Source organism: Homo sapiens, chromosome 6 (assembly GCF_000001405.40).
Source record: "Homo sapiens chromosome 6, GRCh38.p14 Primary Assembly".
Lineage (NCBI taxonomy): Eukaryota > Metazoa > Chordata > Mammalia > Primates > Hominidae > Homo > Homo sapiens.
The window spans coordinates 43,529,208-43,548,245 of NC_000006.12; the positions used below are offsets into that span (position 1 = coordinate 43,529,208).

Sequence of the window (19,038 nt, forward strand, 5' to 3'; positions counted from 1 at the left end):
TTGTAACAAACTCTCCTTCACCATTCTCCTTATAATTTCAGGTAAGAAAGATTTGCTGGCTGCGGTGGCTCACACCTGTAATCCCAGCACTTTGGGAGGCCAAGGCGAGTGGATCACGGGGTCAAGAGAGCGAGACCATCCTGGCTAACATGGTGAAACCCCGTCTCTACTAAAAAAAAAAAAAAAAAAAAAAAAAATTAGTCGGGCATGGGGGCGAGCGCCTGTAGTCCCAGCTACTCGAGAAGCTAAGGCAAGAGAATGGTGTGAACCTGGGAGGCGAAGCTTGCAGTGAGCCGAGATCACGCCACTGCACTCCAGCCTGGGCAACAGAGCAAGACTCCGTCTCAAAAAAAAAAAAAAAGAAAAGAAAGAAAGAGATTCAACTATTAATAAGGGTCTGAATGAGAATGAAGTGTTAAAACTGCTGCTTCTGGCTGGGTGTGGTGGCTCAGGCCTGTAATTCTAGCACTTTGGAGGCTGAGGCAGGAGAATTACTTGAGCCAGGAGTTTGAGACCACCCTGGGGAACATAATACAGACCCATCTCTACAAATAATAATAAAAACTAGCTGGGTGTGGTGGTGCGCATCTGTGGTCCAGTCCAGGCTCTTCAGGAAGCTGAGGTGGGAGGATCACTTGAGCCTGCACTGAGCTTTGATGGCACCACTGCATTCCTGCCTGGGTAACACTGAGACCCTGTCTCAAAAAAAAAAAAAAAAAAGTGCTTCTAAAAATACAGAAAAGGGATAAAAGTTTTATCTTTCACAGCTGGGCATGGTGGCTCACACCTGTAACCCCAGCACTTTGGGAGGCTGAGGCAGGCGGATTACTTGAGGTCAGGAGTTTGAGACCAGCCTGGCCAACATGGCGAAAACCTGTCTCTACTAAAAATACAAAAAAATTAGCTGGGCGTAGTAGCATGCGCCTGTAATCCCAGCTACTTGGGAGGCTGAGGCACATGAATCACTTGAACCCAGGAGGTGGAAGTTGCAGTAAGACAAGATCATGCCACTGCACTCCAGCCTGGGCAATAGAGCAAAACTCTGTCTCAAAAAATAGGAATAAAAATCAGCTGGGCGTGATGGTGCACACCTGTAATCACAGCTAGTTAGGAGGCTGAGGCACAAGAATAGCTTGAACCTGAGAGGCAGAAGCTGTGAGCCGAGATCATACCACTGCACTCCAGCCTGTGCAACAGAGTGAGCAAGACTGTCTCAAAAAAAAAAAAAAGTTTTATCTGTAATAATTCCGAGAAGGGGGAAGGTAAAAATTTACCCCTAAGGAAAAGTTTATGGCCATCTGGACTGCCTTCATGTTTTCCCTGCAATCTGCCAGTGTTTTTAATGACATGATACACTTAGATACATAATCTCATCTCTTCCTTCCAGTTCTGCCTCTTCCCTCTGGTTGCTGTGACCTGTTTTGTTTCTCTCTCTAATTTTCTGACCTTTTGGGTTATGTAGAGACTTTTGAAAGGATATGAAGCATGGGTCTGAGTCGGTAGTCAGGAATATTGTTCAAGTTGACAAAGGCTGAGCTGAGAAGCTGGGTAGCAAGGTCCTCCACAGTATAGAAGTCTTGCTGCATGGAAGGGCCTGCCTTCCCTAGGATATGAAAACTGTAAAGGGGAAAAAAAGAGCATTGAAAATGACAAATCCAACATCTGTTACTGCCAGCCCTGTCCCATGAATTTCATTTCTAGCCTACAATAAGGTTTTTCAGCCAGAAGAGCAGTTGTATTTACTTAAGAGAACTTATAGATACAGCATCTTTTTAAAGACAGATGTTGGTGGCCGAGATCAGCAGTAGCTTTCATTACTATTTAATGTGGACTTACAATGGACGATCTCATTAGCTTGGCTGATTAGTGTAGTGGTTAGTGAGGCCAAAGCCCATGAGGGCCAGTTACCTCCCCAACCCACAACCAGTATCCAGCCACCCGACTCCTATGAGAAGTATGCCGCAAGCAGTGTAGGGTCTAAGCAATCCCCACCACTTTTAGCTTCGACTTGGGTTTCATCATTTTATACACTAGAAACACAGACAAGTTGGGCATGAAGCAGGCTGGGATTGTGAGGCTCATATGACAATTACAAAAAAAGCAAATGCAGGAAAGCAGGCTTTCATTTCTATTTAACACTAGAATGATAAGTTTCCTATCAAACTCTTGCCTCGCCTTACCTGTACACTAGATGAAAAGTCCAACCCATGGACATTCCTATACAATACATATCGAGGAAGAAAATATGGAGAGGCAGCATTGGTTCCTTACCAGTTTTCATAGAGGGTAGAGAAGAAACGCTGCATTCTTTCCAAGACGGTTTTGAAGACAGGAGAGTCATTGAGTTCCAAGAGAGGTTGAGGTAATCCTACAGGGAAATACGGGTCAAGAACATGATGCTCCACTGTCAGGAGTCTCAATTGGCCAACACTCTACAGCAGGAAGCTGTTGTTCAGGGGTGAAGATGTGTGCATGTCTGGTGCTGTACTGCAAAGCAGTTGGCTACGTGATTTGCTGCACTCTTTTGGTAGGAGAAGGTGAAAGCTACTTAAGGACCCAGGACTTTAGACCCGGGTACTCTTTTATCTGCTTTTTTTTTTCCCCCAGATGGAACCTGTACCAAAAAAAGTGACAACTCAAAAGTATTTTTCCATAAAGCTCTGGGGATGCTCCCACAATTAAGTTATGAAACCCCTTTTTTAAGCAAAATCTTACACAAAACACTAAGATGTGTAGCAGCTAAAAATGAAACCCACTTACCTTAGTATTAAAAACTGCCTTAAAATATCTATATTTTTAAGTGTAATCAGAGGTTTTACATTTCGAGTCCTATAGTCAGAAGCTATCTGTGGGAACTGTTTGTCCATTCTAGTATTTCTGGTTGGCCACTTATTTCTATAGCAGGAGTTCCTGACTTAACTTGAATAATGGCATGGGGGTGTGTGGTAAGCAACACCTACTTTTTATATTAATAGCTATACATTTCTTGGAATTTCTACTTTTACTGGTGTCTGCAACATAACCCTTAAATGGAATGGTGTCAAAGGAAAAGATTCAGGACTATCTAGGCTGAAACAGACAGACATGAGTTCTGGAAAGGCAAATTAACATCCTTCCTTTGGCTAACTTCACAGCTGAGGAATGCCATTGGATTGCTTGACCACAGCCGGGCTCAGACACAGGTTATAGCTGATGACAAAGACAAACTATGGGGGCTGTGATGGTGAGCCAGCCTGAAGCTTCTGAGATGGGAACAAGGTTTAGACAACTGATGCCTCTAGCTCTAACTTCATCCCACATTCCCAGACTAGCTCCCTGTGCTCCAGCCACATGATTCAACCATCTCTATGTTCTGGACATACCAAGGCCTTTTTCTCTTGCCTCAGATCTTATACCTGCCATTCTGTTTGTCCAGAATGCCCAGCATTTCCTCATGCCCCTAACCTAGCTAGTTCGTACTCATCCTTCAAGTCCCCATTGGGAGTCAGCCTTCTGACTTCCCTCTGAGACTGGGTTAGGTCTCCCGATAAACACTCAGAGCCCTGCCACTTTCCTTCACAGCAAATACCACAATTATGACTGCACAGTTATTTTCATGCTTATTTTCAATGGGAAAATGAATTAAAGCAGTATCCTAACAAGGTCACAACTGGAAGGCCAGGCGTGGTGGCTCATGCCTATAATCCTGGCACTTTGGGAGGCCAAGGCAGGCAGAGCACTTGAGGTCATGAGTTCGAGACCAGCCTAGCCAACATGGTGAAACCCTGTCTCTACTAAAAATACAAAAAATTAGCCGGGTGTGATGGTGCATGCCTGTAGTCCCAGCAGGCTGTGGGAGAATCACTTGAACCTGGAAGGCAGAGGTTGCAGTGAGCTGAGATTGCACCACTGTACACCAGCCTGGGTGACAGAGTGAGACTCTCTCAAGAAAACAAAACAAAACAAAAAAGGTAACAATTGGGAAATGGCTTAAAATCTATTCCTTTAAAAACTTTGATACCTATCTACACACACACACACACACACACACACACACACACACACACACACACACACGAGGAGGCAGGAAAGTATACAAATATCCTTCAGGTTAAAGGCCATGATTTATTTATAATTGAATGGCTGTAACACCCACCACAACCTACTGGCTAAATTGAAGAAGGGGTTAACGGGGAAAAAAAATAAATTGCCTTCGATTTTCTCTGTATGCTAAGATAATGAAGTAAATACACTTGTTCATATAGAGCTTATAGGAACTCCACATTCTGCATTTCTGAACAAATAGATGGTCAAGGCAGTGCAAGACAAGATGGAAGAAGCACAAGATAGGCTGAAGCTGCTCAAGGAACCCATAAGAACGCCTGTAATCACTAGGATTCTAGTGCTTTAAAGGCCATGGTGGGAGGACTGCTTGATGATAAGAGTTCAAGACCAGCCTGGGCAACATAGCAAGACTCTGTCTCAACAAAAAAATTTTAAAGTTCGTCTGGCGTTGTGATCTGCCTGTGGTCCAACTACTCGGGAGGCTGAGGCAGGAAGACTGCTTGAGTCCAAGAGTTTGAGCCTACAGTGAGCTATGGTTGCACCAGTGCACTCTAGCCTGGGTGACAGAGACTATGACTCTTAAAAAACAACAAAAAAAGGGGACATCCATTAGGGATAAGATAAACCTTAGGAGAAAAAAGGTTACATTTCTTACCTAATATAGCAGATTTTTCCGCGTCAAGCATATCCAGAGCCTTGGTGAAAGGCTCTGCCATTTTGGCTAGCATTTCTGGTGCATATAATGTATTGTGGGTTCTGAAAGAAACAAGAATGCTATTGAGCTTTTCCATCTGATGCAGAAGGAAAGAGTGGGTTTTGCTTGTAATCCAGTGATACTACAGTTTCACACAGATCTGCCCATCAACTCCTGGCAGGGGAAAGAAAAGAAGGTATAAATATCTGAATGCTCGCTGGAGGAGGGAACAGACTTGTATAGATATAATTATCTTAGTATACAATACCTAAGATAAATTAACATGAGAACTAAACCCCAAGACACAGGACAGTATCAGAGTCCAAAGCTAGAAAGCAAAATTCTTTTAAATCTGAGGTGGTCCCAGGAGTTTTTTGACCACCAGTGATACGGAATGAAATGTGTGCAACACTGTGGATTTACAGGTAGGAACACAGAGGAGGTGGTAATTTGCCCCATTTTTCAATGTTTTGTCTTAATTCCAAGAGCATGGACCTTGCAACAGCTGTTTGGACCTGATAGAGGAACACAATTCCCAACACATGCTGTCCCCCACCAAAATGACCTACCTGAGCAATTATAGGCTTTGAGTAAGGAGCAAGGACTGTGAACTTGATATACCCGCTGTCCACAGCACTCTTACCTACTCACAGAAATGACCCCACTGAACAAACTGATGGCTACACGTTTAAGATGCAAACTGAAAACATCTTTTAGACCATGTTTAAACCTCCATAGTTTGTTCTTTTTGTTCTTAAGAAGTCATTCTAGGCTGGGCTCGGTGGCTCACGCCTATAATCCCAGTACTTTGGGAGGCCGAGGCTGGCGAATTACCTGAGGTCAGGAGTTCAAGACCAGCCTGGCCAACATAGGGAAACCCTGTCTCTACTAAAAATATAAAAATTAGATGGGTGTGGTGGTGCATGCGTGTAATCCCAGTTACTTGGGAGGCTAAGGCAGAATTGCTTGAACTTGCGAGGCAGAGGTTGTGGTGAGCCGAGATCATACCACTGCACTCCAGCCTGGGCAACAGAGTGAGACTCCATCTCAAAAAAACCCCCCAAAGGCCAGGCGCAGTGGCTCATGCCTGTAATCCCAGCACTTTGGGAGGCTGAGGTGGGTGGATCACGAGGTCATGAGATCGAGACTATCCTGGCTAACACAGTGAAACCCTGTCTCTACTAAAAATACAAAAAATTAGCCGGACGTGGTGGTGGGTGCCTGTGGTCCCAGCTACTCGGGAGGCTGAGCTTGCAGTGAGCCAAGACTGCGCCACTGCACTCCAGCCTGGGCAACAGAGCGAGACTCTGTCTCAAAAAACAACAACAACAACAAAACCCCAAAAAACAGAAGTGTTTCTATGGCTGGGCCCAGTGGCTCACGCTTGTAATCCCAGCACTTTGGGAGGCCGAGGTGGGTGGATCATCTGAGGTCAGGAGTTCAAGACCAGCCTGGCCAACATGGTAAAACCCAGTCTCTACTAAAAATATAAAAATTAGCCAGGTGTGGTGGTGGGTGCCGGGCATGGTAGCTACAGGTTTAAGATGCAAACTGAAAACATCTTTCAGACCATGTTTAAGCCTCCATAGTTTGTTCTGTTTGTTCTTGCTTAAGAAGTCATTCTAGAGGCCGGGCGCGGTGGATCACGAGGTCAGGAGATCGAGACCATCCTGGGTAACATGGTGAAACCCCATCTCTACTAAAAATACAAAAGCTAAATTAGCCAGACATGGTGGCGGGCGCCTGTAGTCCCAGCTACTCGGAAGGCTGAGGTGGGAGAATGGCGTGAACCCGGGAGGCGGAGCTTGCAATGAGCTGAAATCGCGCCACTGCACTCCAGCCTGTGTGACAGAGCGAGACTCCATCTCAAAAAAAAAAAAAAAAAAGTCATTCTAGGCCGGGCGCAGTGGCTCACGCCTGTAATCCCAGCACTTAGGGAGGCCAAGGCCGGAGAATCACCTGAGGCCAGGAGATCAAGACCAGCCTGGCCAACATGGTGAAACCCTGTCTCTACTAAAAATATAAAAATTAGACGAGTATGGCGGTGCATGCCTGTAATCCCAGCTTCTCCGGAGGCTGAGGCAGGAGAATCACTTGAATCCAGGTGAGCCAAGATCGTGCCACTGCACTCCAGCCTGGGTGACAGAGCGAGACTCCCTCTCAAAAAAAAAAGTCATTCGCTACCCTGGCCAGGCACAGTGACTCATGCCTGTAATCCCAGCACTTTGGGAGGCTAAGGCAGACGGATCACCTGAGGTCAGGAGTTTGAGACCAGCCTGGCCAACATGGTGAAACCCTGTCTCTACTAAAAATATAAAAATTAGCCGGGTGTGGTGGTGCATGCCTATAATCCCAGCTACTTGAGAGGTCAAGGCATAAGAATCGCTTGAACCCAGGAGGCGGAAATTGCAGTGAGCCGAGATTGTGCCACTGCACTCCAGCCTGCGCAACACAGTGAGACTCCAACTCGACAAAAAAAAAAAGTCATTCACTAACCTCATGCTGTAAATATGGTCTAGAAGTTTTACTTTGGCCAGATGCGGTGGCTTATGCCTGTAATCCCAGCACTTTAGGAAGCCGAGGTGGGTGGATCACGAGGTCAGGAGTTCAAGACCAGTCTCTGGCCAACATGGTGAAACCCTGTCTCTACTAAGAATACAGAAATTAGCCAGGCATGGTGGCACACGCCTGTAAATCCCAGCTACTCAGGAGGCTGAGGTAGGAGAATCGCTTGAACCCGGGAGGCAGAGGTTGCAGTGAGCCAAGGTCGCGCCACTGCACTCCAGCCTGGACGACAGAGTGAGACTCTATCTAAAAAAAAAAAAAAAAAAAAAAAAAAAAAAAAGCAGCTTTACTTTTTGGGTTTTAAAACACCTGAAAATTTTTTCTGTGTGTGGTGGCTGGTAGGAATCTAATTGTTTTTTCTAACACGGTGAAACAGACAATATGGTGTCTGTCCTCGACAACTCAACTCTGCATAGAAAGCCAACTGTCCCAGCATTGAATAATTGATTTTTGTTTTGTTTTTTGTTTTTTAAAGAGACAGGGTCTCACTCTACTGCCCAGGCTGGATTGCAGTGGTGTGTTCATAGCTCACTGCAGCCTCAAACTCCTGGGCTCAAGTGGCCCTTCCACCTCAGGCTCCCGAGTAGCTGGGACTATAAGTGTGCACCACCACACGTGAATAATTAAAACTTTTTTTTTTTTTTTTGTAGAGAAAGTGTCTGTGTTGCCCAGGCTGGTCTCAAACTCCTGGCCCCAAGAGATCCTCCTGCCCTGGCCTCCCAAAGTGCTGAAATTATAGGCATGAGCCACTATTCCCAGCCATCTTTTTCTAACTTTCATTACTTCTGTCATAGATCAACCTGTAATACATACCTGGGAGTCTTTTAAAGGCTAAACCTTTACTATTGTGTTGAACCCATCATCATCTACAAAGGATTATCTGCTAAAAAACTGAACTGGTATGAGGTCAGTTTTCTAGACCAGAGGTCACATTCATACATGTTTTAAGCTTGGCCGGCAATATGGTGTCTGTCCTCGACAACTCAACTCTGCATTGAAGCGCAATAGCAGCCATAAACAGTAGGTAAATGAATGGCCAAGGTATGTTCCAACGGAAGTTTACTTACAAACATGTGGAGACTTACATTTGGTCCTCAGGCTGCAGAGTGCCATATGTCCTCTAGACATATTCACGTGTAACAAAATAACAAAAATAAAGGAAAGTAGACAAGATCAAACAATACTCCAGAGATGCAATCATCAAAATTTCACCAGGGGAAACTCTGGAAATACAAGTCCACATTTTTCAACAAATAAATTGAAAAGAAAAAGAGGGCCAGGCATGGTAGCTCACGGCTGTAATCCCAGCACTTTGGGAGGCTGAGGCAGGTGGATCAGTTGAGCTCAGGAGTTTGAGACCAGCCTGGGTAACATGGCAAAACCCTGTATCTACTAAAAATACAAAAAATTAGCCAGGCGTGGTGGCGCACACCTGTAATCCCAGCTACTCGAGAGGCTGAGGCAGTCGAGAGGCTGAGGCAGGAGAATTGCTTGATCCCGGGAGGCGGAGGGTGCAGTGAGCTGAGATAGCACCAGTGCACTCCAGCATGGGTGACAGAACAAGATGGTCTCAAAAAAAAAAAAAAAAAAAAGGCAAGGAACTTATAAATTTAGAGCCTAAGAGACATCTTTTTTTTTTTTTTTTTTTTTTTTTTTTGAAACAGAGATTTGCTCTGTCGCTCAGGCTGGAGTACAATGGCGTGATCTCAGCTCAATGCAACCTCCGCCTGCTGGGTTCAAGTGATTCTCGTGCCTCAGCCTCCCAAGTAGCTGAGACTACAGGTGCGCACCACCACACCTGGTTACTTTTTTAAATTTTTAGTAGAGATGGGGTTTTGTCATGTTGGCCAGGTTGGTCTCAAACTCTTAGCCTCAAGGATCCGCCTGCCTCGGCCTCCCAAACTGCTGAGATCACAAGCGTGAGGCACCACGCTAAGCCTAATTTAGTGACTAAGAGATATCTTAAATATATATAAACCTTGTGTGGATAAACAGAAAAAAGGAAAACATTCGGTGATATTTGAATACTGATTGTATACTGGATATTGAATTACTGGTAGTATTTTGAGATATAACAATGGAAATGTGGTTATATTAAAAGACTTATTACTAGCTCCATATTGCTTTTGATTTGGGATTTTCGTCTCTATGTTTACAAGTGATTTAGGCCTATAATTTTCCTCTTTGGTACTGTTAATGTCTGGTTTTGGTATCAAAATAAATAAGCCTCATAAAATGAGTTATGGAGCACTACATTTTTCTTTTTTTTTTTCCCACGCTTAATTCACTTTATTTTTCTTGTATAAAAACCCTATGTTGTAGCCACAGCTGGAGCCTGGGTCTGCTGCACAGAGACTCTGGTGTGGGTCTTGACGAGGTGGTCAGTGAATTCCTGATAGGGAGACTTGGTAAATACAGTCTCCTTCCAGAGGTCGGGGGTCAGGTAGCTGTAGGTCTTAGAAATGGCATCAAAGGTGGCCTTGGCGAAGTTGCCCAGGGTGGCAGTGCAGCCCTGGGCTGAGGTGTAGCAGTCATCGATACCAGCCATCATGAGCAGCTTCTTGGGCACAGGTGCGGAGACAATGCCAGTGCCCCTGGGTGCAGGGATGAGGCGCACCAGCACAGAGCCACGGCGGCCTGTCACCTTGCAGGGGACGGTGTGGGGCTTGCCGATCTTGTTCCCCTAGTAGCCTCTGTGCACGGGGACAATGGAGAGCTTGGCCAGGATGATGGCCCCACGGGTGGCGGTGGCCACCTCCTTGGAGCACTTAACACCCAGACCGACGTGGCCACTGTAGTCCCCGATAGCAACAAACGCCTTGAACCTGGTGCGCTGGCCAGCACGGGTCTGCTTCTGCACTGGCATAATCTTCAAAACCTCATCCTTGAGAGAGGCCCCCAGGAAAAAGTCAATGATCTCTGATTCCTTAATGGGCAGGGAGAAGAGATAGATCTCCTCCAGGGACTTGATCTTCATGTCCTTGACCAAGCGGCCCAGCTTGGTGACGGGCATCCACTCCTTATCTTTGGCCTTGCCTCCGCGAGCTCCGCGGCCTCAGCCCCGGCCCGGTCCACGGCTGCGACCCCGGCCCCGGATGCCACTGGCGAAACCTCTGCGGAAGCCACCGCGGTTCCCCATCCCAGGGCCACCAGGGCCTCCAGGCCCCCCCACTGCACCGGCGTCATCCGCCATTTGGTGTTTTCTCGGAGAAGAAGCTACATTTTTCTATTCTTGGGAATAGTTTGTCTAAGAGATAAATTATCTGTTCCTTGAAGGTCTGGGAGAACTCCCATGTAAAATCATTTAGGCCTGGAGTTTTTTGGTCTAATTTAACTACTACCAATATAATTAATATGAAGTTATATCTCTTTAGGTTTTCTATCTTGTTGAGTTAGAATAAGTTACATTTTCCCTGGAAATTATCCATTTTTAAATATTTTATTTTTAAAAATAGAAGACGGGGCTGGGCACAGTGGCTCACGCCTATAATCCCAATACTTTGGGAGGCCAAGATGGGCGGATCACCTGAGATCAGGAGTTTGAGAACCAGCCTGGCCAACATGATGAAACCCTGTCTCTACTGAAGATACAAAATTAGCTGGGCATGGTGGCGCACGCCTGTAACCCCAGTACTTTGAGAGGCCAAGGAGGGGGGATCACCTGAGGTCAGGAGTTCAAGACCAGGCTGGCAAACATGGTGAAACCCTGTCTCTACTGAAGATACAAAATTAGCCAGGCCGGGCGGATCACGAGGTCAGGAGATCAAGATCATCCTGGCTAATACGGTGAAACCCTGTCTCTACTAAAATTACAAAAAATTAGCCAGGCGAGGTGGCGGGCACCTGTAGTCCCAGCTACTTGGGAGGCTGAAGCAGGAGAATGCCGTGAACCTGGGAGGCAGAGCTTGCAGTGAGCCGAGATGGCGCCACTGCACTCCAGCCTGGACGACAGAGCAAGACTCCGTCTCAAAATAAATAAATAAATAAACAAAATTAGCCAGGCATGGTGGCACACACCTGTAATCCCAGCTACTCAGGAGGCTGAGACAGGAGAAGCGCTTGAACCTGGGAGGTAGAGGTTGAAGTGAGCCGAGATCATGCCTTTGCATGCCAGCCTGGGCAACAAGAGTGACACTCCGTTTCAAAAAAAATAAATTAAAAAATCGATATGGGGTCTTGCTACGTTGCCCAGGCTGGTCTCCAGCAATGTTCCTGCTGTGGCCTCCCAAAGTGCTGAGATTACAGGCATGAGCCAACATGCCCAGCCCCATTTTTCTTAAGCTTTTGAATTTACTGATGTTATCACTAGTATTTTCAAAGAACCAGCTTTATTTTTATTAAGATTTTAAAAAATTGAGGCATAATTCACATAACATAAAACTAACCACTTTAGGAGTACTATTCAGCCATAAAAAAAAAAAGAGATCTTGTCATTTGCAACAATATGGATAGCACTGGAGGTCATTATGCTAAATGAAATAAGCCAGGCACAGAAAGACACATCACATGTTCTCACTCTTTGTGGAATCTAAAAATTTAAACAATTCGACTCATGGACATACAGAGTGTAAGGATGGTTAGCAGAGGGGCTGGGGAGGGTAGTGGTGGGTTAGGGGTAAGGTAGGGATTGTTAATGGGTACAAAAAACCCACAAAGAATGAATAAGATCTAGTATTTCCTAGCACAATAGGGTGACTATAGTCAATAATAATTTTGATTGTACATTTAAAAAGCATAACTGCAGTTGACTATAACTGGATTGTTTGTAACACAAAGGATAAATGCTTGAGGGGATGGATACCCCATTTTAATTGATGTGATTATTATTATGCATTGCATGCCTGTGTCAAAACATCTTATGTACCCCATAAATATATGTATGTACTGTGTACCCACAAAACTTTAAAAAACTAACAAAAAACATCCCCACCAAAACCTAACCATTTTAAAGTTCACAATTCAGTGGTATTTAATACTTTCAAAGGGTTGCATAAGTAACCTCTACCTGGTTCCAAAACGTTTCCATGGCCCCCAAAATAACTGCCAGGCCCATTAAGCAGTAGCAGTTGATCTACACTTTCTTCTCCTCTCCAACCTGAGGCAATCGCCAATGTACTTTCTGTCTCTAGATATTTCATAAAAATGAAATCATACAACATATGGCCTTTTGTGTCTGGCTTCTTTCACTTAGCATAATGTTTTGAAGGTTGATCCACAGTGTAGTAATTATCAGTACTTCATTTTGTAAGTACTGTAGTAATCCAATACTTCTTTTTTTCTTTTTTGAGATAGAGTCTCATTCTTTCTCCCAGGCTGGAGTGCAGTGGCACGATCTTAGCTCACTGTAACCTCCATCTCCTGGGTTCGAGTGATTCTCTTGCATCAACCTTTTGAGTAGCTGGGGTTACAAGCATGCACACCACCACGCCTGGCTAATTTCTGTATTTTTAGTAGAGATGGGGTTTCACCATGTTGGCCACACTGGTCTTGAACTCTTGACCTCAAGTGATCTGCCTAAGGCCTTAGCCTCCCAAAGTGCTAGGATTACATGCATGAGCCACCGCACCCGGCCGATTTTAGAAATCTAGTGTGTATTTTATACTTACAGTTCATCTCAATTCAGGCTAGTCATTTTTATTTTTTAATTTTTATTTTTTTTCTCTAAGGAGCTTTCCAGAGAAAACTGGAAAGCCTACCAGACCAATTCTGAAAGTACTGTAACACTTGACTAGTAATACTTCAAGTGCTCAATAGTTTCATGTGGCAAGTGGCTTCCATGCTGGACAGCACAGCTTCAACACCTTCTATTATCAGATTATTTGACGCAGGAGGTGCTATGAATACCTTGCTACATTCTTAAAGCAAACTTTTCTCTACTAAAAAAATAGTAATTTATTTATTTTTCAATTTTTTTTTTGAGATGGAGTCTTACCCTGTTGCCCAGGCTGGAGTACGGTAACATGATCTCAGCTCACTGCAACCTCCGCCTCCCAAGTTCAAGCGATTCTCCTACCTCAGCCTCCTGAGTAGCTGGGATTACAGGCACCTGCCACCATGCCCAGCTAATTTTTTTTGTTGGTGGTGGTGGTATTTTGAGTAGAGACGGGGTTTCACCATGTTGGCCAGGCTGGTCTCAAACTCATGACCTCAAGTGATTCACCTGCTTCGGCCTCCCAAAGTGCTTGGATTACAGGCGTGAGCCACTGTGCCCAGCCAAAAAATAGTAATTTAAAACTCCCAACTCCAGCATATAACTGGTGGGAATATAAATTAGTATAACCACTTTAAAAAGCAGGTTGCATCTATAAAAACAGAAAATACACATTTCTTATAAGCTAGGAATTCTACTCCTATGTGTGTATCCAACAGAAATTATATATATATGTTCACAAAACGTATTTGACATAAGAATGTCAACAGCAGCATGATATGTAATATTAAAATATCACCCAAAGGTCCATCAAGGCTGAATAGTTACAGCATATTCACACAATGAAGTATCATACAAGCAAGGAGAACAAAAAAAACACAAGTACATTCATGCAGTAACATGGATGAACCTCAGAAACAAAATATTGAGCGAAAGGAAGGCAGACACCAAAAGGTGCATACTTCTGATTTCATTTTCACAAAGTTCAAAAACCTGGACAAAATGTTAAAAGTCAGAATAGTGGGCTGGGTGAGGTGGCTCACATCTGTTATCCCAGCACTTTGGGAGGATCTCTTGAGCCCATGAGTTCAAGACTAGCCTCAGCAACATAGAGAGAACCTATCTCTACCAAAAAGTTAAAAATTAGCTGGGCATGGCTGCTCATGGCTGTAGTCCTAGCTACTCAGGAGGCTGAGGTGGGAGGACTGCTTGAGCCCATGAGGTCGAGGCTGCAGTGAGCCGTGATCGCAACACTGCACCCCAACCTGGGCGACAGGATAAGATCGTGCCTCAAAAGTAAGTAAGTAAGTAAATAAATAAATAAATACAAATCAGAATAGTAGTTATCTTTGAGGGGCAGGTAATTACTGAAAAGAGGTATTAGGTAAAGTTGCTTCTTGATCTGAGTGCTGATTACATGAATGTGTCCACTTTGTGAAAATTCATCTACACACACTCACAAGTTAAGCCCTTTTCTACATAAATGTTACACTTCAAGATAAAATTTATTTAATTTTTTTTTTCTTTTTTGAGACGGAGTCTTCCCTGTTGCCCAGGGACAGGGAAGACTCTTCCCTGTGATCTTGGCTCACTGCAACCTCCACCTCCCAGGTTCAAGCAATTCTCCTGCCTCAGCCTCCCGAGTAGCTGGGATTACAGGCGCCCGCCACCATGCCTGGCTAATTTTTGTATTTTTAGTAGAGGTGGGGTTTCACCATGTTTATTGGGCTAGTCTCGAACTGTTGACCTTAAGTGATCCATGCGCCTTGGCCTCTCACAGTGCTGGGATTATAGGCATGAGCTACCGCGCCCAGCCAATAAAATTTACTAAAAAAGCAAAACTCTTAATAGCTCCAGCTACACACTATTCAAGCAATCTACTCTATCATTACATGCTAGGCATTTTTCAAAATGCCTTTTGATTGATTTTTGGAATTCTCTAAAAGCACTGAACTCTTAGAAAAGTATCAAAATGATAACCATCTGAAGACTAAGAAAATAGAGTCCTTAAAGTCAAGCTGAGTCTGCTGTTAGCCTCCTAAATGAAAGGATAGACAGAACAGGTCTTGTTTGCAAAATAAATTCAAGACCTACTTATCTACCGACAGCAATTATACACTTTCCATTGTCTTTCTATAGAAAATAGGAGTAGTAAATTTATAGAGGAAAAAACTGGAGAAAGACATAGTGAACACATGAGAATCTTCCTCTACTGATTGATAGGAAGGTGACTAGAAATTGAAAAGAGATTATACTTTTTTAAAAAAAGAAAATTATATAAAAAAAGATAATCATACTGTTGTCTTGTGGCCTCTAGAGTCAACCAGAAATGAACCCTGTTTCCACGTCTGGGTTGGCCACATAGATTCTGGCCACAGGCCTAAAAAGGTCTAGGTGATTAGCTTCTTGCCCTATGATTTCCATCACTTTCACGTTTCTCTAGCTGCAGAAGAACCTTGTGGTTTTAAAAAACATCACTATGGGGCTGGGTGTGGTGGTTCACACTTGTAATGCTAGCACTTTGGGAGACTGAAGCAGGCTCAGCTGTCCGAGACCAGCCTGGGCAACATGGCAAAACCCCATCTCTATTAATAAAAACATCACGATAGAAATAAGCCTCTTCTTGACTAAATGTTTAACCCTCTCAGTACAAGTCCTACTTCTTTTCAGAGATCTCTTTCCTCCTTTAGAAATCAAAAGAAAATATTATTTATTTATTTATTTATTTTGAGATGGAAGTCTCACTCTGTCGCCCAGGCTGGAGTGCAGTGGCGTGATCTTAGCTCACTGCAATCTCCGCCTCCCGGGTTCAAGCGATTCTCCTGCCTCAGCCTCTCGAGTAGCTGGGATTACAGGCATGTGCCACCATGCCCAGCTAATTTTTGTATTTTTAGTAGAGACAGGGTTTCATCATGTTGGCCAGGCTGGTCTGAAACTCCTGACCTCAAGTGATTGACCCACCTTGGCCTCCCAAAGTGCTGGGATTACAGGTGTGAGCCACCACACCCCGCCAAAATATTGTCTATTTCCACAGACATGTCCACAATGACAACTTTATCAGACACTCCAGCCCTCCAATTTGTCAACATTAACTTAAAATCTTTGGTTCTCAGGCTTCAGGTCTTGGGTGTCTATTCCCAGGAGAGTTTCACTGCGACATGAATAATTTGGTTTGCCCCGTTGAGACTGCTTTTACTCCTTGGAGAAGGGGCCAAAAAGTACTGAAACAGAGCTCTAACAATGTAATTTAAACATCCTGTGAGAGGCCAGGTGTGGTGGCTCACTCCTGGAGTCCCAGCACTTTGGGAGGCCGAGGTGGACTGATCACTTGCGGCCAGGAGTTCGAGACCAGCCTGGCTAACATGGCGAAGCCCTGTCTCTACTAAAAATACAAAAATTAGCCAGGAGTGGTGGTGCACACCTGTAGTCCCAGCTACTTGGGTGGCTGAGGCAGAAGAATCGCTTAAGCCTGGGAGGCGGAGGTTGCAGTGAGCCAAGATTGCACCACTGCACTCCCAGCCTGGGTGACAAAGTGAGACTCTGTCTCAAAAAAACAAACAAACAAAAAAAAAACCAATCCTGTGAGATACAAAAAGCACTCTTTGGCCAATAACTGAATTATATAAAAAAACCTATCTTTTCATTTAGAGACCATCCCTGAGTCATCAAATATCTATATCTAGTAACTGATAAGCCTATACTGGCCTACTTCCACTTGAATATATTAACTCATGTGATCTAAAACAGTGATTCTGAATGTTTAATGTGTATATAAACCACTGGGCATCTAGTTAAAATGCAGATTCTGATTTAGTATGTCTGGGGTGGGGCCTTGATTCTGCCTTTGAAATAAGCTCTCAGGTGATGCTAATGCTACTGGTCTTAGGACTCAGCTTTGAGAACCAAGGATCTAGCAAACTCAGATGAAAAATTTATAATTCCTTTGTTTAGCATGTTCAGCCAGCGGTTGTTTGGTTCATCTGAGCTCAGACTCAGTATTGATAAATTCAGATTAGCTCATATGAATACCACCTAGACAAGCATCATTATAGAAGGCAACTGCCCTGCTCCCAATGAGCAATTCCTTTACTAAAAAATTTAGACCAAATAAAACTTACAAGTAAAAATAGGGATGAAGTATAAAGAAATGGAAGAACAACAAAGAGGAGGCTCAAAATGGGAAAAGCCCTTTTGGGATTATCCCCTTGGGTTCACATGGAAATTAAGATTTATGCAAGTGAGAGCTGATGTTATTTTTTTTAAAACTGAGACACCCTCTAGAAAGAAATAAGACTTAAATCAATCCCTCATTAATACCACTAAGATATGAAGACATGTAAACAGACTAAACTTTTGAAATTTTTAAGGTAAAGTAGAAAACAACAGAGAAAAGCCATTATTCTGACTCACCTTATAAGCGCAAGCAAATTGTCAAGAAGTTTCAGAATCTGCTCTGTGCAGGGGTTACGGAAGATTGGATTTCCACTGGATGTATAACCCACCACAAATCCCCCAGCTTTGGCCTCTTCTAGGTCAGTGGGCCAGCAAGTTCGTTTCACCACACCCAGAATGCTGTATACACAAAAGCTCATCTATAGAAAAATAAGAATGACAGATAAATATTAAAAGGAAAAAAAAAAAAAGACCAAATACTGTTAGATATATTCAAGGTTCTGGCAAAAGTGACACAGAGGCCAGAGAGAATGAAATAATCCTCTGCTCCCCGGCAATCCCCCATCCCTTCCTTTAAGGTGAAGTCCAAGAGGGATCCTCTCACTGCCATTTTCAGGGCCAGTGGTAGGCTCTGGAAACTTCCCTTGCAGTAAGCTGTCTTTCTAGGAGCTGCAGTGACCCACCCACAGGACCCTGATGAGAAGGTGGCTTAGATACGATCCAAAACAAAGTGTTTAAAATGCCATCACTTCATCTTCTTTGAGTTGACCCTTATTGGGCCTTGACAGCTAGTGTCCTAATCCCCCCTCACGGTACTCTGAATCAACCTACTACTTGCCAGGTTAATTAATGGGACTTGTGCCATAATGGAGCCAGGAACAATGCTTATTTAAATAGCAAAGCACTGAAAAATCTCAGGTTTGCAAGTTAAGCCATCACTTAAGACTTTACATGCCAGAGAGCAATGGCAGGGAGGACTCACCCTGCTGACCAAGTTCTGACCTACTTCCTCATTACACCTTCAGTCTTCAGAGCTATTTAGAGATCCTTAAAGCCAAAATAATGACTTCATAGAAAAGACCATCTGCTCTGCTGTGGGAACTAACTCAAGAATTCAAGACTAAAGAAGAAAAGAAAGGAGAAGCTTAGGGAAGTGGAGACTCCCACGTTTCTCACCAGTATAGAAAAAACAAATCTATGAGAAACTTGACAAAAGACAACACCCTACTCCTACCCATGGCCAATGCCACTTCCCATTCCCAGGAAAGTCTTACTCGTGCACGGTTTAAGCCACACGGATCCTCCAGGCCTGGGTCACAGCTCTTCTGATCTGTACCCACATACGCAATGAAAGCATCAACATCTGACAGCACTCTGAAGGTTGGAGGGGGAAAAACAAGTTACATCATGACTTTAAACAAGGACAGTTTCTTCCACAGGAGTTAACAGGCTATCATTATTTGGCCCTTAAGAGCAGTTTTTATAGTGAGAGGAGTATAATCATACTAATTGTCAGTTGTCATTTGAAGGTTTAAATTTCCCTTCCCACTCCCAAATATTATTAGTAACAATTTAAGAATTAAACAAGAATATAATCTTCAAAATATAAAGAAAATAATTTCTCTACTGTGTGAGCACAGATAAGTGTCTGTGTGGTTGTATGGCCCTTCCTAGCTGTTCTCATTTTTCTAAATGTGCTGGTGCTGCAATGCAGACACCACAGGAGTCTCACTCTGTGCCCTCCCCACCCACAATCTAATTGAACCAGAGATTAAATTACAAAAGACTGCTTTTAGAGAACTTCAGATATCATGGATAATGCCATCACACTTCAATATCCTTAACCCCTACCCCACCCTGGGCCTAGCTCTTAAACCAAAATGGGTGCTTGAGTATAGTAAGAGTCAGGGCA

At 43.9% G+C, this 19,038-nt stretch overlaps 2 protein-coding genes, 2 non-coding genes and 1 pseudogene across 6 annotated transcripts in view, besides 3 other annotated features; 2 read left to right on the plus strand and 3 right to left on the minus strand.

Annotated features, from left to right (window-relative positions):
- POLR1C (RNA polymerase I and III subunit C) overlaps window positions 1–19,038 on the plus strand; it is a 45,319-nt gene that overhangs the window by 12,119 nt on the left and 14,162 nt on the right. The window contains exon 9 of one of the 2 annotated variants that reach the window (NM_001318876.2): window positions 42–169. The exons of the other annotated variant lie outside the window; for it this stretch is intronic. Within the exon in view, the coding sequence (NP_001305805.1) occupies window positions 42–148 (107 nt within the window). The 3' untranslated portion in view covers window positions 149–169. Of the gene's footprint in view, window positions 1–41; window positions 170–19,038 lie in introns of those variants that run through there. 2 annotated transcript variants of the gene reach the window in all.
- Window positions 1–19,038, minus strand: part of XPO5 (exportin 5) — a 53,705-nt gene that overhangs the window by 6,874 nt on the left and 27,793 nt on the right. The window contains exons 19-24 of one of the 2 annotated variants that reach the window (NR_144392.2): window positions 18,401–18,500; window positions 18,109–18,246; window positions 17,364–17,545; window positions 4,700–4,800; window positions 2,272–2,368; window positions 1,481–1,617 (exon numbers count right to left, since the gene is read on the minus strand). Coding sequence is in view for 1 of the 2 variants with exons in the window: in NM_020750.3 (NP_065801.1) it covers window positions 1,481–1,617; window positions 2,272–2,368; window positions 4,700–4,800; window positions 17,364–17,545; window positions 18,401–18,500 (617 nt within the window). In the remaining variant the exon portion in view is untranslated. The remainder of the gene's footprint in view (window positions 1–1,480; window positions 1,618–2,271; window positions 2,369–4,699; window positions 4,801–17,363; window positions 17,546–18,108; window positions 18,247–18,400; window positions 18,501–19,038) is intronic. The other variant, NM_020750.3, reaches the window with a different exon arrangement.
- Window positions 4,095–4,295: a silencer, noted in NCBI's record as "peak5815 fragment used in MPRA reporter construct". NCBI's record gives its function as "represses an SCP1 promoter by STARR-seq MPRAs in K562 erythroleukemia cells {active_cell/tissue: K562}" and the evidence as "EXISTENCE:reporter gene assay evidence [ECO:0000049][PMID:32103011]".
- On the minus strand, window positions 9,578–10,519 carry RPS2P29 (ribosomal protein S2 pseudogene 29; annotated as a pseudogene).
- LOC124901522 (U7 small nuclear RNA) lies at window positions 12,968–13,029 on the minus strand. Its single transcript, XR_007059943.1, has one exon. It is a non-coding gene; the product is annotated as a U7 small nuclear RNA (small nuclear RNA).
- Window positions 13,098–13,147: a silencer, noted in NCBI's record as "silent region_17235". NCBI's record gives its function as "represses an Ori minimal core promoter by ATAC-STARR-seq in GM12878 lymphoblastoid cells {active_cell/tissue: GM12878}" and the evidence as "EXISTENCE:reporter gene assay evidence [ECO:0000049][PMID:35858748]".
- LOC124900224 (small Cajal body-specific RNA 15) lies at window positions 14,937–15,063 on the plus strand. Its single transcript, XR_007059951.1, has one exon.
- Window positions 17,762–18,961: an enhancer, noted in NCBI's record as "BRD4-independent group 4 enhancer chr6:43514706-43515905 (GRCh37/hg19 assembly coordinates)". NCBI's record gives its function as "activates an origin of replication core promoter dependent on BRD2, P300/CBP, MED14 and CDK7 cofactors, and independent of BRD4, by STARR-seq in HCT116 cells {active_cell/tissue: HCT116}" and the evidence as "EXISTENCE:reporter gene assay evidence [ECO:0000049][PMID:35650434]".